Genomic DNA, 17,151 nt, shown 5'->3' on the forward strand with positions numbered 1-17,151 from the left:
GAAGAAACTATCCTTTCCCATTGTGTGTTCCTGGCACGTTTGACAAAAATCAATTGAGTATAAATGTATGGGTTGATTTCCGTGCCTTCTATTCTGTTCCATTGGTCTGTTTCTGTTTTTACACCAGTATCATGCTATTTTGGTTACCCTAGCTTTGTAATATAGTTTGAAATCAGGTAGTGTGATGTCTCTAGGTTTGTTCTTTCATCTCAAGTTTACTTTGAGTATTTGGTGTTTCTTGGTATTCCTAATGAATTTTAGGGTTTTTTTCTTCTATTTCTGTGAAAAATGACATCAGTATTTTGATAGAGATTGCGTTGAATCTGTAGATCATTTTGGATAGTTTGGACATTTTAACAAATTAAAAATTTAACAAATTAATTTTTCCAATCTGTGAACACTGGATATCTTACCATTTATTTGTGTCTTCAAATTTCTTTCATCAATATTTTATAGTTTTTATTTTAGAGCTCTTTTATCTCCTTGGTTAAATTTTTGTTTTTAATGAGATGGGGTCTTGCTGTGTTGCCCAGGCTTTTCTTAAACTCCTGAGCTCAAATGATCCTCCCACCCTGGCCTCCCAAAGTGCTAGGATTACAGATGTGAGCCACCGGCCTGGCCGATATATTTCTAAGGTTTTTTTTTTTTTTTTTTAAGTAGCAATGATTAATGAGATTGTTTTGTTTATTTTTAAAATCAGATCAGATAATTTGTTGTTACTGTATGGAAATGCCACTGCTTTTTGCATTTTAATTTTGTATCCTTCATGTTTAATGTAGTTGTTTATTAGTTCTAACTGTTTCTTTGGTGGAGTCTTATGTGTTTTCTGTATGTAAGATTGTGTTGTTAGCAAACAGTGACATTTTCACTTCTTTATTTCCTATTTGGATGCCTTTTTATTTCTTTCTCTTGTCTAAATGCTCTGGCAGGGACTTCTAGTACTATCATAATTGAGTAGAAGTTGTGAGAGAGTGCATCCTTGTCCTCTTTCTGATCTTAGAGGAAAAGCTTTTGAATTGTCACTGTTGGGTATGATGTTTAGCTCTGGGCTTGTCATTTATGGCCTTTGTTGTGTTGAGGAACATTCCTTCTACACCTAATTTGGGAGAGTTTTTGTCATGAAAGGATGTCGAATTTTATCAGATGCTTTTTTTGCATCAGTTGAGAGGATCATATGGTTTTGTCCTTAATTTTGTTAATATGAACAGAATGACATCAGTTAATTTGCACATGTTGAGCTAATCTTGAACCCATGGCATAATTCCTACTTGATCACAGTGGGTGATCCTTTTATTGTGCTGTTAATTTGGTTTGCTGGTATTTTGTGGGGGGTTTTACATTTGTATTTATCAGGGATAATGGCCTATAATTTTTTTTAATTCATTTTGCCTGGCATTGGCATAAGGGAAATCCTGGTCTCATAAAAAGAGGAACTTTTCTTTCCTTTCTGTTCTTCGGAGGAGTTCAAGAAGGATTGGTGTTAGTTTTTCTTTAAATGTTTAGTAGAATTCACCGGTGATGCGATCAGATTCTAGGCTTTTGTTTTGATGGGTTGATGGGAGACTTTTTTTTTTTCTTTGAGACAGAGTCTCGCTTCTGTCACCCAACGCTGGAGTGCAGTGGTGCAATCTCGGCTCACTGCAACTTCTGCCCCCGGGTTTCAGGTGATTCTCCTACTTCAGCCTCCTGAGTAGCTGGGGTATTTTTAGTAGAGACAGAGTTTCACCATGTTGGCAAGGCTGGTTTGGAACTTCTGACCTCAAGTAATCTGCCTGCCTTGGCCTCCCAAAATGCTGGGGTTACAGGCGTGAGACGCCATGCCCGGCCTGATGGGAAACTTTGTATTACTGATTTATGTCCTTACTCATCATCAATCTGTTCAGATATTTTATTTTTTCATATTTCAGTTCTGGCAGGTTGTCTGTGTCTAGGAAGTTATCTATTTCTTCTGGGTTATCCAATTTGTTGGCATATATCTGCATATTAATCTCTTATGATTATTTGTGGTATCAGTTGTAGTGTCTCTTCGTTAACTTCTAATTTTATTTTTAGTCTTTGGTTTATTTATTTATTGAGATAGAGTCTTGCTCTGTCGCCCAGGCTGGAGTGCCGTGGCGCCTCGCAGCTCACTGCGACCTGTGCCTCGTGGGTCCAAGCGATTCTCCTGCCTCAATCTCTCAAGTAGCTGGGATTACAGGTTTGCTCCACCACACCCAGCTAATTTTTGTATTTTTAGTAGAAACAGGGTTTTGCCATGTTGGCCAGGCTGGTCTCGAACTCCTGGTCTCAAGTGATCTGCCTGCCTCCGTCTTCTAAAGTGCTGGTATTACAGGCATGAGCCACTGCGCCTAGCCTTTCTTTTTCTTAATCTTGCTAAGGAGTTGTCAATTATATTTATCTTTCCAGAAAACTGGAAAGTGTTCAGGTTTTTTTCCCCTGTCATTTTTCTAGTTTATACTTTATTTATTTCTCCTCTGATTTTCATTTCCTTTCTTCTGCTAACTTTGGGCTGAGTTTCTTCCAATTTTTGTTCCTTGATGTATAATAGTAGGTTGTTTATTTGACAGAGATATATATATATATATGGGGGGAGGCACTGAATGCTGTAATTTTCTCTCTTAGAAATGGTTTTGCTGCATCCCATAAATTTTAGCATATTCTGTTTTTGTATTTGTTTGTCTCAAGATAATTTTTAATTTCTCTTTTGGTTTCTTCTTTGACTCATTGTTTTTTCAGGAGCATGTTGTTTAATTTCCACAAATTGGTGACTTTTCCAAGATTTCTCCTGTTATTTATTTCTCATTTCATACTATTGTGATCAGAAAAGATACTTCATATGATTTACATACACTTGAATTTTTTAAAACTTGCTTTGTAATCTAACACAGTATCTATTCTGGGGAATATTCTTTGTGTGCACAAAAAAGAATGCGTATTCTCTTGCTGTTTGGTAGAATGTTCTGTACATGTCTTTTAGGTACATTTGGTCTAAGAGACTAAACATTCTGTCTGGATGGTCTGTCCTTTGTTGCAAGTAGGGTATTGAATCCCCCTATTATTACTGTATTGTAATCTATCTCTCCCTTTAGTTTCTTTAATATTTGTTTTCGAAGTCTAAGTGCCTCTGTTGTTGAGTACATATATATTTATAATTATTAATATCCTCTGGATGAATTGACCCCTTTATCATTATGTAACATACTTCTTTGTCTCCTTTCACAGTTTTTGACTTAAAGTCTATTTTGTCTAAGTATAGCTACCCCTATTCTATTTCGGTTTCTATTTGAGTAGGATTTATTTAAATAAGAATAAATTTATTTTAATTTTCCTCTATATATTCAGGTAGTTCACTGAACTTTTTAAGTGGATTATTCCAAATATTCGTCAGTCATTTCATAGATCTGTTTCCTTTGGGTTCATTATTGGAAATTTATTAGTTTGTTTCGAGATATAATGATTCCCTGATTCTTCACCATTCTCGTGTATTTGCTTTGGGGTCTGCTCATTTGAGCAAGCTATCTGGCCAAGATAGAGCTTCACTATTAAACCTAGCCTCTGATTATGCGTGGTTCAGCCTGAAATGACCCCAGGGAGGCAGGGCTTGCAGTTGGGTTCTCTAGGTGGCTAGGCCCCTGCCTTTAGGTTCTGAGGTTGGATGTTGCTGCTCTCTAGGTTCTGCTGTCTGGCAAGACCACTGTCAAGACCACTGGCTGGTCTCTGCAGTCAGTCAGACCTGCTGGCTGGGCACTGCGATAGCCTCTAATTGGGCTGGGTTACAGGATGTGTTCTCTGGCCAGGCAGTATTATCGTTTGGGTTCTGAAGTTGGGCAGGGTTGCAGGCTGGCCCCGAGGTTAGGCAGAGTTGTTACTCCAGATGGACAGATTCAGAGGCTATGTTTTATAGAAATGCGTGTTTGAAGCTTGCCCTCCTGCCTGAACGGAACCTTGGTGTGAGGTCTGGGGCTGGGCCAAGCCCCTGTTTGGCCTCCCAGGTTGGGCAGGCCTGTCTTCTAAGGAAATACACAGTGATCGGTGTCTCCCTGCCTGGGTAGGACCTGGGAGTGGTGTTTGAGGCTGAGCCAAGCCACTGTTTGAACTCTCTGGTTGGGCAGGTCTAGCCCCTGAGCTTTGCTGAAATATGCTGAGGTAGATGTCTACCAGTCTGGGCGGGGCTTTGGGGTGGGCTCTGAGGCTGGTTGTGGAGGTTGGCCATTTAAGGACTGAAGCCAGGTTGAATTTTTTACCATGCTTCTGGAAGCAACCAGCTTGACTTTGCAGGTAGGATAGGCTATTGGCTGTTACCTCTAATTGGATGCTACCACTGGCAGGAACACAGAGCTACCACCAACGTCTGCAGGCTAGTTGCTATAAGGTCTACCTCCTTTCTTTGTTTCTACGCAACACCAGATGATCTAGCTGTGACATTGCCCACATTGTTTCCCTTGAGGTGAGACCAGCGTGAGCTTCCTGGGAAACATTTTAGAACACTGGGGAAGCTCAATGTCTGACCGTGGCTTTCTTTTTCCACTGTACAAACTGTGGATCTAGGGAATTTTCTTCTTGTACCGCAAGCAAATCAGCTGGGATGGGAACAGGTGATGTGCTCAAAGTGAGACTGTTACTCTTACCCTTCTACTGCAGTTTTTGTTTGGTTCTGTGGTCCTCGCAGGTGTCTCAGCTCATTCCCAAGTTTGGGGGTAAAATGGCATTTTCTAATCTGTGGCTAGTTGCTACTTAAACTCTCTTTGTGCAGGGGTGTCTGTCTTTTGGGGCTTCTATAACAAATATCTTAGACTGGGTAATTTGTAAATAGGAACAAGTTATTTTTCATATTTCTGCAGGCTGGGAAGTCCAAGATCAAGACACCAGCAGATTTGGTGTCTGGTAAGGGCTTGATCTCTGCTCCATAGTTGACACCTTCTTGCTACATCCTTAAATGATGGAACTGGTAAAAAGGACTACCTATGTCTCTTGATCCCTTTTATAAGGATGTTAATCCCATTCACGAGGGCAATGGCTAGTTATCTCCTTAAGGCTCTGCCTGTTAATGCTGTTACATTGCAGGTTAAGTTTCAACATGAAATCTGAAGGGATATAAATATGCAAATCATAGCAAGGAATGAAACCTGGAACTTCTATTCCTGCCATCTTACTGATGTCTAAATCAGATTCTTTAATTATTTATGAAAATGTATTGAAGTTGCTGGAGAGATAACAGGAATCCAAAAATTTGATTTAGAATAATAGTCCATTCACAATGTAGGGTTTTTTTGTTTTGTTTTTACCTTTCATTTATTTTCAAAGTGTTCCGTATAGAAAGCATTTCACATTGCTTGGCATGGGAGGTGATTCCTTGCTTGGCTTAGGTTAAAAATTTGAGGCCATATATCTCAAAGCCACATGCTATAATTAATCATTTACTTTACCTAGTAATGCTAAACAAAATGTATTATGAAAAGTGAAAATAGAAGCTGAGCAATAAACATGTGTAGGCCACTGGGTTGAGAGAATTACTGACATAAATGATGTTGTATAAATATACAAATATCTTATTAATATGGTGATATGGAGTAATAATTACTGTGTGCCAGATTCTATTCTAAATTTTATAACTATATTATTTAATTATCAAAACTATGTTATAAGATAGTTCCATGATTATTTGCATTTTTTACATACAGAGAGATTGAGGCATTAAGAGACAACGTAACTTATCCAAAGATTATATGAATATATTATGCTGGTACAAAAGCAACTGCAGTTTTTGCCTTTTTTGATGGCAGAAACCACCTGCAATTACTTTTGTACCAACTTAATAGTCAACAATAGAGCTGGAATTTATTTTTTGTTTTTATTTTCATTTTTGAGACAGAGCCTTACTCTGTTGCCGAGGCTGGAGTGCAGTGGCACGATCTTGCCTCACTGCCATGTCTACCTCCCCAGTTCAAGTGATTTTTCTGCCTCAGCTTCTTGAGTAGCTGGGATTACAGGCACATACCACCATGCCTGGCTAATTGTATGGTTTTGTTTTGTTTTGAAGACGGAGTCTCACTCTGTTGCCCAGGCTGGAGTGCAGTGGCACAATCTCGGCTCACTGCAAGCTCTGCCTCCTGGGTTCACGCCATTCTCCTGCGTCAGCCTATCGAGTAGCTGGGACTACCATGCCCGGCTAATTTTTTGTATTTTTAGTAGAGATAGGGTTTCACCGTGTTAGCCAGGATGGTCTCGATCTCCTGACCTCGTGATCCGCCCGCCTCGGCCTCCCAAAGTGCTGGGATTACAGGCATGAGCCAGCGCGCCCGGCCTAATTGTACGTTTTTTGAGTAGAGACAGGGTTTCACCATGTTGGCCAGACTGGTCTCGAACTTCTGACCTCAAGTGATCCACCCACCTAGGCCTCCCAAAGTGCTGGGATTACAGCGTAAGCCACCGCACCCTGCTAGAGCTGGAATTTAACATATGCATTATGATTCTGGAGTCTTTGCAGTGCTATTCCTAATTCATCAACCTGAACTGCTTGCTTGATGTTTTTTTTTTTTTTTACTAATTCCATGGAATTACATCCACAAAACAAATGTTGACCAAACAAAGGTGAAAAGCAGCTTTGAAGACAGAAATATATCAACATAAAATAATGCTTTAAGTGTTACTCATTTTTTAAAAAGGATCCGAAATACATCAGCACAGTGGAATTTGCCATAAGCATTTTTTCTTTTCCTTTCAAAAAAATGCTATTTTTGCAAAACATATATGTGCTCATTGGAGTGATACAGTTATTTGAAGAAGGAAAAACTTAAAAAAGCCCATATTTCCAATCTTAAACTGTGAGTCTCATAGAAGTTTACACATTTATATTGAAAATATGGAACATACATTTCTGATAATCATATAAGCATATTTATAATTCTTATAAACATCATTTTTTACATTTCTTCAGGCCTGTCTACAAGTCATTTTGCTTGGGCATTTCACTCAGTAGCAGAAGAAGAACTGCTGAACATGTTGCCAGCCATGCAGAAAGATGATCCCACTTGGTCTGAACTAAGAGCTATGGGTGTGGGGTGGTGGGTCCGGAATACCCGCATCTTACGCAAATGCATAGAAAAAGTAAGTGTTTTATTTTGGTGTATAAGTGAATTAATATTTTTTGGACGTTTCTTTAAATGGCATTTCATATCTTCTCTGCCATTACTCCCTCTTGTTTTTGAAGCAGCAAAAGGCTTTTGAATAGTCTTTACATTTCATTTATAACGTGTTTCAAAATATCTAAAGTTTTAAAATGTATATTCTAATTCCCAAGTTTTTAATTGACAAACTTGTTAGTAGTATATGTCTGATTTTTACAAAATAATATATATGTTTAGAAAAATTTAAAAATAGTACAGAAGAACTTGTAATGAAAGGCAATAGTCCTATTATTCTCTGTATCCATTGAAGCCACCACTGTAAGTCACTTTTGTTATTATTTTATATATACATGCACATATTATTCATATACATATTTTTAAAATTTTATTAAACATTCAATGGATATGTGCCAGCCTTTCATATGAAAGAAATTACTTGTTCAAAACTGTTTCTGTGAAATTTTGATCAATATTTTTTGATTATAGGTAGCTAAAGCAGCCTTTTATAGAAAGAATGATCCTTTAGATGCTGCCATTTTTTACCTTGCAATGAAAAAGAAAGCTGTGATTTGGGGATTATATAGGTAGGTAAAAAAAAAAAAAAAAAAGGGTGCTTCAATGTGAAAACCTGTTCATAAGAAGTAAATGAATGAAGTAAGATTTGTTGTTCTTGTTGATGTTGATTCATGTAGATTCTTAGTTGTTTTATATTTAAAAGAGAGATTTCGTAAGGAAAAAGCCCCAAGTGTTTTTCAGAGTGGAAGAAACCTGATGAGGTCAGTTTAATTTGTTTTCAGATTTATCAATCCAGAAACAATATTTTGCTTAAGAACTTCTCATTATGCTCCTATAAAACAAAGGTAATGTATTAGTCCGTTTTCATGCTGCTAATAAAGACATACCCAAGACTGGGCAATTTACAAAAGAAAGAGGTTTATTGGACTTACAGTTCCACGTGGCTGGGAAGGCCTCACAATCATGGCACAAGGTGAAAGGCATGTCTCACATGGCAGCAGACAAGACAAAACAGAGCTTGTGCGGGGAAACTCCTGTTTGTAAAACCAACAAGTCTCTTGAGGCTTATTCACTATCACAAGAATAGCATGGAAAAGACTTGCCCCAATGATTCAGTTACCTCCCACTGGGTCCCTCCCACAGCACTTGGGAATTCAAGATGAGATTTGGGTGGGGACACAGCCAAACCATATCAGGTAACTAAACCAGAAACTTATGCTTGGGACAGGGAAGAAGATGAATTAAATGGTGGAGTCTGGAACAGGCATTTACCTCTGCACTATGGGCCAGCCTACCCCACAAAACTATCTCCTTCCTGTGGGCCCCACCTTCTTTCTGAGCTGAATTCACTTAGAATTTTTCTCTCTCACTTCTGAGCAAGACTGGTGAACATGATTATCATAAATAGTTCATCATTTGTTTTGAGTTTATTTCCAGATGACCCACATGAACAGCGACCTTTGGGGGAAAAATCACGATAACAAATCGGTTTTCTAAGAGACTTGATGATTTACGGTTGTTTTGATTCAAGGCACATTCTTTAGATTTTTATCTCTTAGGTCATTCTCAGATGGCAGGGGTGAAAAGATACTGATGAGTTTCAATGGTGGCACCCAAGTTAATATAAATCAAACATTTTGCATGGATTTAAAAGTAATTTTCACAGTCCTGCTAATGTAGTTTTCTTTGTATTTAGAAAGAAAAATTTTTTGTAATCTCTGAGACTTATATAACAAATGTTTACCTAATATAATTTTTACTGGGAAAAGAAGCAGATACATAGTAAGTTATGAACTGGCAGATGTTTCTATTTAGACTTAGCCAAATCTTAACTTTAGAAAATTGATTCTGATGTAAAGAAAATTGTATTCCAAAATTTTCACACCATTTTTTTTCCTTTATAGAGCTGAAAAAAACACCAGGATGACACAGTTTTTTGGACACAATTTTGAGGATGAGAGGTGGCGTAAAGCAGCTTTAAAGAATGCTTTTTCTTTGCTAGGCAAACAAAGATTTGAACATTCTGCAGCATTTTTTCTTTTAGCTGGTTGCCTCAGAGATGCAATTGAGGTAATGAGTGAAATTTAAATAACAAAGTATAGCAATGTCATCTTTTAAAGCTCCTTAGTGCTTAAATTTTTATTTTTTTAAATTCAACTTTATTGGAAATAACACAAGGCCAAATATCTGAAATAACTGTTAATATTTAATAAAGACATTTAAAATTTTGACTGTTAACTTGAACGGTATTTATACAGAATTAAGATTAACCAAATGGTGTTTGTTAGTTGGTAGAGATAGGTAATTGATTTGACTCTTGAGAATATTCAAAAAATTAAAGGGTTTGTCCTACCAGTTTAAACATATTTGAACCCCATATCTGGCTCTCTATTATTTGATGAATGTTAGAAAATCCTTAACTGATTATTTCTTAGTAAACCTTAAAAAAATTATGAATATTTAAGATACAACATTTCTGTCTCAAATTGCCCTTTTGCTCAGAGTTTCATACAAGTAATTCAAAACAACCTTTTAATATGGAGACTAAAGTCTCCAGGGGCGGATGGAGAATAGTAGAGGTTCAAGACAGAAATAAAATAATATAGCTTAAATTGACGTCATTTAAATTATCCATTGTTTCCTCATTTAGTTTAATTTTTGCACATATATATATATTTAGTACTAGAAGGTAGGTTTGCAGTTATTAAATGTTGTCAAGTAGATTTGCTAAAATCTAAAAGCAAGCAGCATATGTTTTGTTTCTTATCCTTCTTTGCTAATTTTGGATATTTATAAGCCTTTATATTTTTCTAGTTATTAGTGAGTTAACAGAATTTATCCTAAAATGAAACCTGCTCCTGCTTATTTAAAAACAATATTTTTTTTTAAAGGTATGTCTTGAGAAATTGAATGACATTCAGTTGGCTCTTGTAATAGCAAGACTCTATGAGTCTGAATTTGATACATCTGCAGCATATAAATCTATTTTACGTAAAAAAGTTTTGGGAATCGATTCTCCTGTCAGTGAACTGTGTTCATTGAACATAAATATGCATCATGATCCTTTTCTTCGGAGCATGGCATATTGGATTTTGGAAGATTATAGTGGTGCTCTGGAAACATTAATAAAGCAACCTATCAGAGAGAATGATGGTAAGCTGCACTTCTAAGATGTTAATGATTAAGAATATTATTGGTAATTGCTACATGTGCAGATCACTCTATTAGGTGGTAAGGGTAATACAAACAAATTGAATTCATGGTCTTTATAACAGTTTTTGGTTGGTTGTTTGGTTTTTTTCTCCAGAAAGATAAATCCTTTGAAAACAAAGAACGTTGGATTTTCTGTTTTTACAAAATAGATTTACATAAATATTGAACATAAATATTGTCAACACTTGAATATAAACATTTTGAAGAAATACTGTTATAAAGCCAGTTTTTAAATCTTAGGTTGAATTTAGTGTGTTTGTCAATCAGTTTTAGAATTCTTACAGTGAAAAATGTGTTCAGTGTAAAAACAAGTTGACTTAAGTGATGTGATAAGAAAATCTTTAGCTAGATGAACTTTTGACTGTCTTGTTATGAACTGGTAGAGCTTATGTACTCTTTTGAGTCTGCTAGTACCTTTTCTTTTAGAAATCCTCTTTGCTAAAGCTTTCTTAGAGGCCAGTATAAAATGGAATTTTTTATATAGATGCATATAAAAATGAGATTTACTTTTCAGATATGTTTTCATAGATTGAATTGTGTTTGGTAGCTGATAAAATAGGTATTATATTATTTGGAATACTAATTGGAAAAGGGTCTAGTTCATAGATTTTTATGTGCTATCATTTAATCAGGAAGTGGCCTTCGCCTTACTTCCTAAACCTTTGAGAAAGCTGTGTGACTCATTTGTTTAAGTCTCCTAGCCATTTAAGCTAAAGATTTTCAAACTAGCCTCTATGTAATGAAGGGAAAATGTAAATGCCTTTTCCAGCCACTTTCTTTTTTTAGTGTTTTTATTTAAAAAAAAAAAAATTAGACACAGTATCTTGCTTTGTTGCCCTGGCTCATCTCAAACACCTGGCATCTAGCTGTCCTCCCACCTCAGCCTCCCAAAGTCTGGAATTACAGGCATGAGCTACTGTGCCTGGCCCCCTTTCCCTTTCCCTTCCTCTTTCCTTTTGTCTTGTCTTTTCTCTTTTCTTTCTTTTTCTTCTTTCTTGAGGTGGAGTCTCACTCTCACCCAGGCTGGAGTGCAGTGGGGCTATCTCAGCTCACTGCAGCTTCCACCTCCCAAGCTCAAGCAATCTTCCCACCCCAGCGTCCTGAGTAGCGGGGACCACAGGTGTGTGCCACCATGCCTAGCTAATTTTTTTGTATTTTTGCTGGAGATGGGGTTTCACCATGTTGCCCAGGGTGGTCTTGAACTCCTGAGCTCAAAGTGCTGGGATTACAGGCATGAGCCACCACACCTGGCCCTGGCCCACTTTCTTATACTTAACACATATTCATGTAAAAATTGTATTTTGATTTGGGACTAGTACATTTTTACATACTTTTATTATGAATTAAACTTGTATTCTTCTAGAAGAAAATTGCAAAAAATAATAGCGGCTTGGACCAGAATGATTGGAATGGAGGCAGAGAGATGTGGTTGGATTTGGGATATGATTTTAAGATTGATTACATAGGACTGGATTTGATAAGGAGTGTAAAGGAATTAGGAGTCAAAGGTAACTCCTGGCTTTTTAGATTGAACAATAGGTAGATGATATGGGGAAGAATTGTTTTAGATCATGGAGCTTTCTCTGATAAGGTGAACTTTGATCAGAGAACTGGTTGAAATGAGTGAGTTAATCAGTATAGATATAGGTAAAGAGTGGTTTGGGTCAAGGGCACACTAAATAAAAAGGCCCCAAAGCAAGAGTTTATACACATAAGTAAAAATGAAATGTAGGCCTTTGGATATAGGAGTTTAGGTTTTCAGTGTGAAGTTGGGACTGGAGATAGAGATGATGTCCAAGTTATCAGTGTGTAGATGTTATTGAAAGTCATGGGGACTATATGAATTCAACTCAGGGAATATAGATAGAAAATAAGTCAGCAGTTGAACCCTAGGAGACTCTCAGTGTTCAAAGGTAGAGAAGATGAGGAGGACTAGCAAAGCAGACTGAGGAGAAGTGTTCAGGGAAGTAGGAGAAAAAGAACTAAGAGTCTATAACTGGACGTTTTAAATTATCCTAGAATATTACCTGAAGAGACTTGTTTCAATGGGAAAGCATCATAATCTTTGTTTTCCTACTTTGTTAGAACATGTTCATTATAAATGTGTTGTTGTCTCTTCAGTGCCATGGATCATTGTGGCCTATTAGTAAAATTTTGTCAAAAGACTCTTTAGATAAAGGTGTCATAGTAGATAGAGAAAAGACACTACAATAGAAACACACAGTTCATAACTTTTCTTGGCTCATAAAATGAATTTACTTTCAGATCAAGTTTTATCAGCCAGTAATCCTACAGTTTTTAATTTCTACAATTATCTAAGAACACATCCTCTTTTGCTGAGACGTCATTTTGGATCATCTGATACATTTTCCACACATATGAGCCTAACAGGAAAAAGTGGACTGGCAGGAACAATTAATTTAAGTGAAAGACGTTTATTTTTTACCACTGCCAGTGCTCATTTAAAAGCTGGCTGCCCAATGTTGGCTTTGGAAGTATTATCAAAGATGCCTAAAGTCATCAAGAAAACAAGACCTTTTTATAGGGCTTCTAGTTTTCTGGATACTAGTAAAGACTGTTCTCCTTCTTCTCCATTAAAGTTGGATGCAAGGGAAGATAAGTCTTCTGCTGTTGATTGGTCACAGTCACTGATAAATGGTTTTGGATCTTCTTCAGAGGGTTCCTCAGAGAAGCAATCAAACTCCACTCTTTCTTTTGACTGGAGCCAACCAAGTGTTGTGTTTCAGGATGACTCTTTAGAGTTAAAATGGGACAGTGATAATGATGAAGAAAATGAGGATGTCCCTATTTCAATGAAAGAACTAAAACCTTTACAGAGAAAAACAGATAAAAAGTTGGATGACATAAGTTCTAACTACACAGAATCTTTCAGCACACTAGATGAAAATGACCTTTTAAATCCATCAGAAGATATAATTGCAGTTCAGTTAAAATTTAGAGCATGTTTAAAGATTCTCACAGTAGAACTTCGTACTTTATCTACTGGCTATGAAATAGATGGTGGAAAATTGCGTTACCAACTATACCACTGGCTTGAAAAAGAGGTGATAGCTCTTCAGAGGACTTGTGACTTTTGCTCAGATGCTGAAGAACTACAGTCTGCATTTGGCAGAAATGAAGATGAATTTGGATTAAATGAGGATGCTGAAGATTTGCCTCACCAAACAAAAGTGAAACAACTGAGAGAAAATTTTCAGGAAAAAAGACAGTGGCTCTTGAAGTATCAGTCACTTTTGAGAATGTTTCTTAGTTACTGCATACTTCATGGATCCCATGGTGGGGGTCTTGCATCTGTAAGAATGGAATTGATTTTGCTTTTGCAAGAATCTCAGCAGGTATGTAATTTACTTGATAGTCAAAAATGGTACATGTCTAAAACTGTTTTTGGTGTTTCTTTTTTGGTTTTGAATACTAAGACTTGATTTTCTTTATTACGGTTGCTTTAGGGAAAGCTCCCTTTTGTGTGGTCCTTCATATTATGAATTATAGAGTTGTGTATTTATAGTAGTTACAGACGATTCAGTATCAGGCCTTATGACCTGCTTAATTCACACTCCAAAGTGTTGTCTGAATGCCTTTGTAGGGTGACAGACTTCTTATTGCAAGAGGATATTGTCTTATTTTTTTTTTCCCTCTCTGTGCCCCTAAATGTCTTATTTTTAAATATGATTATTGAAATGCTGACTTCTTCACATCCCTTCTAACTCTAAGTTTCTATTATGCTTTTATTTTTTAATTGTTTTGAAGTGTTTTAAAGAGCCCTTGATTTACTGAAGTAATGGTTTGTAACTGTAAATAGTTGGTTAACCTTTTATCCCTCTTTGTTTTTAAGGAAACATCAGAACCACTATTTTCTAGCCCTCTGTCAGAGCAAACCTCAGTGCCTCTCCTCTTTGCTTGTACAGCCAATGCCAAAACAGTAGTTGCCAATCCATTATTGCACCTTAGTAATCTGACACATGATATTCTCCATGCCATAATAAACTTTGATTCACCACCCCACCCTGATATCCAAAGCAATAAAGTAAGTATGCTTGGTTTCAAGCTTTTACTTCATCTGTACAATGATAAAACTACAAGATAAATATTAAGGCTTTTTTTTAAGTAATTTTAAACATCAGACTAAGCATAGCAATTGTTACATTGCCAAGTTTATGTTGATTCCTATTAAAGAAATCTTCTGGTTGTAGACTGGCTTATCTTACTCATGTTACTTACACCCGGTAGAGTTCTTGAATTTTTTATCACAATGCCTAGTTATTTAGTCTAGCTGCTTTAAGAAAAATAGGTACGTATGAGTCCTTTAGTAGTACATTTAACCAAAAAGCTCATTGTTTTTTAAATATAGAAACTTAATATTTTAATGTAAAGGCACTAATATGTAAACGAAGTTTTCCCTTGTTAATACTAAAGAAATCCACATTTTAAGGATAATGTGAACTATTTGCCCCTGTCATCCTTCTAGGATAGGCAGTACTTTGTGAACCAGCTACAACAGAATCAGCTGCAGTGCTTGTTAAAAGTCTGGATTCTCAAGTTCACTCCAAACTTATTCAATCAGTTTGTGAGAGTATGTCCCAGGAATGTATATTTTTAAAGAAGTTCCTTGTGTGATTCTAATGCATGCAACTAATTATATTGTTATAGTTAATTGTCTAATCAACCAAAGCATCCTATTCATCATTACTTTATCTGCTGTTAATGTCATATTTTATCTTTACTTTTCAGACATATTGAAATCCTTTGAAGTATAACTGACTTTGACCATTTTCATATATCCCTAGTGGTTTTTGTTTTTTTTTAATAGTCTATCATGTAGCTCTCATCCACCTCACAGGTTGTATCACACCAATTCGATTTTCTGTTTTCCTGATGGTGGACTGTCCTACAATTTTACCCTCTTTAGTTACCTTAATCCTTGTAATTAAATTTCACTACTTATTTTTCTGTACTGCTCTGTAGTATAAATGCCCATAGTGCTTATTATACAGTTTGGAATTTAATTTCTTTCAGATTGTGCTCATTTTAGCCAAACTATATTTCATATTTAAAACTAATTATAGCATACCTGTGGTGTATCAGTTACCTTTTGCTGCTTAAGAACTGTCCTGAGGCCAGTGTGGTGGTTCACGCCTCTAATCCCAGCATTTTGGGAGGTCGAGGCAGGCAGATCACCTGAGGCCAGGAATTCAAGACCAGCCTGACCAACATGGAGAAACCTTGTCTCTACTAAAAATACAAAAAATTAGCCAGGCGTAGTGGCACATGCCTATAATCTCAGGTGTTTGGGAGGCTGAGGCAGGAGAATCACTTGAACCCAGGAGGCAGAGGTTGCGGTGAGCCAAGATCGCACCATTACACTCCAACCTGGGCAACAAGAGCAAAACTCCGCGCCCACCCCCCGCCAAAAAAAAAAAAAAAACTGTCCTGAAACATTAGTGGCTTAAAAAGCCATCATTTATTTTGCTTATAATTCTGTGAGTTGGTTCATTAGTTCTTTGGTTTGGGCCAGCTATACTAATGTCTGGACTCTCTCATTCATCTTTGGTCAACTGGTGGGTTAGTCAGGTTCTAGATGATCTAAGAAGGCATCATTTACATTTCTGGTGGTTGGCGCATGTTGACAGCACTGACAGGAGAATCTGGGTCATATGTATCTCATCCTCCAGCAGGCAAGCCTAATATATTTGTCTGGATTCACCAAAGAAACAGAATCAGTAGGATGTATGTGTGTGTGTGTGTGTGTGTGTGTGTATATATATATGTGTGTGTGTATATATATATATGTGTGTATATATATATGTGTGTGTATATATATATATGTGTGTGTGTATATATATATATATATATATAATGAGAGAGAGATTTATTATAAGGAATTGTTTTATGTGGTTTTGGAGGCTGAAAAGTCCCAAGATCTGCAGTTGGCAAGTTGGACACCCAGGAGAGCTGATGGTGTAGTTCCGGTCCAAATCAGAAGGCCTGAGAACCAGGAGAGCTATAATTTAAGTTCAGGTCAGAAAGTCAGCAGGCTGAAGACCCAAAAAGAGCTGATGTTTTAGTTCAAGTCTGAAGACAGGAAAAGCAATGACCCAGCTCAGTGCAGTTAGATGCGAGTTACTCAGCCTTTTTGTTCTGTTCAGGTCTTGCCAGTTGAGTCTACTCACATTACAGAGCACAATCTGCTTTAATCAGTCTGATTCAAATGTTTGTCTCATCTGAAAACATTTCACAGACACCCAGAATAATGTTTGGTCAAATGTCTGTGCACCCCATGGCCCAGTCACACCTAGATTTTTTTCAAATGGTAGTTTCAGGGGTTCAAGAGCAGCAAGAATAGAATTTGCAAGGCTTTTTGAGGTGTAGATTCGGAACTCACACTTCACTTCTGTTGGGTCCTCTTGGTCGAACAAGTCAAGCCCAGCTCAGATTCAGTGAGTGGAGAAGTACGTCCAACTCTCTCTTGCAGAAGCTGCAAAATACTGTGATCATTTTTGCAAGCTCCCATATATAGTTTTTGTCATCTTCAATTATATAATATCTTTTAATTCATACTACGTTTTATTGACATTTGAAGGAAAAATTAGCAATTAGATTTGATCTGTCATTCTCCATTTTTATCTACAAAATGACTGGCATACTTCACAATCAGATGAAGAACCTGGTCTTTTAATATTCTAGTCTGGTTTGCTTTCTTACCTAGCTGAAGTTTCTCCTTCATCCTCAGTTCTGCCTAATGTTATGGCCCTTGCCATGCCATGTTTAGAGTCTTCTC

The 17,151-nt window shown here is 36.9% G+C and overlaps 1 protein-coding gene across 26 annotated transcripts in view; it reads left to right on the forward strand.

The window, feature by feature from the left end:
- DMXL1 (Dmx like 1) overlaps positions 1-17,151 on the forward strand; it is a 178,101-nt gene that overhangs the window by 86,543 nt on the left and 74,407 nt on the right. For 24 of the 26 annotated variants that reach the window (NR_170869.1, NR_170867.1, XM_011543213.3 and 21 more), the window contains 6 exons: positions 6,938-7,107; positions 7,614-7,711; positions 9,047-9,212; positions 10,034-10,295; positions 12,621-13,711; positions 14,209-14,400. Coding sequence is in view for 23 of the 26 variants with exons in the window: in XM_011543213.3 (XP_011541515.1) it covers positions 6,938-7,107; positions 7,614-7,711; positions 9,047-9,212; positions 10,034-10,295; positions 12,621-13,711; positions 14,209-14,400 (1,979 nt within the window). In the remaining 3 variants the exon portion in view is untranslated. The remainder of the gene's footprint in view (positions 1-6,937; positions 7,108-7,613; positions 7,712-9,046; positions 9,213-10,033; positions 10,296-12,620; positions 13,712-14,208; positions 14,401-17,151) is intronic. The other 2 variants (NR_170868.1, NM_001387934.1) reach the window with 2 other exon arrangements.

The sequence above is a fragment of the Homo sapiens genome, chromosome 5 (genome assembly GCF_000001405.40).
Source record: "Homo sapiens chromosome 5, GRCh38.p14 Primary Assembly".
Lineage (NCBI taxonomy): Eukaryota > Metazoa > Chordata > Mammalia > Primates > Hominidae > Homo > Homo sapiens.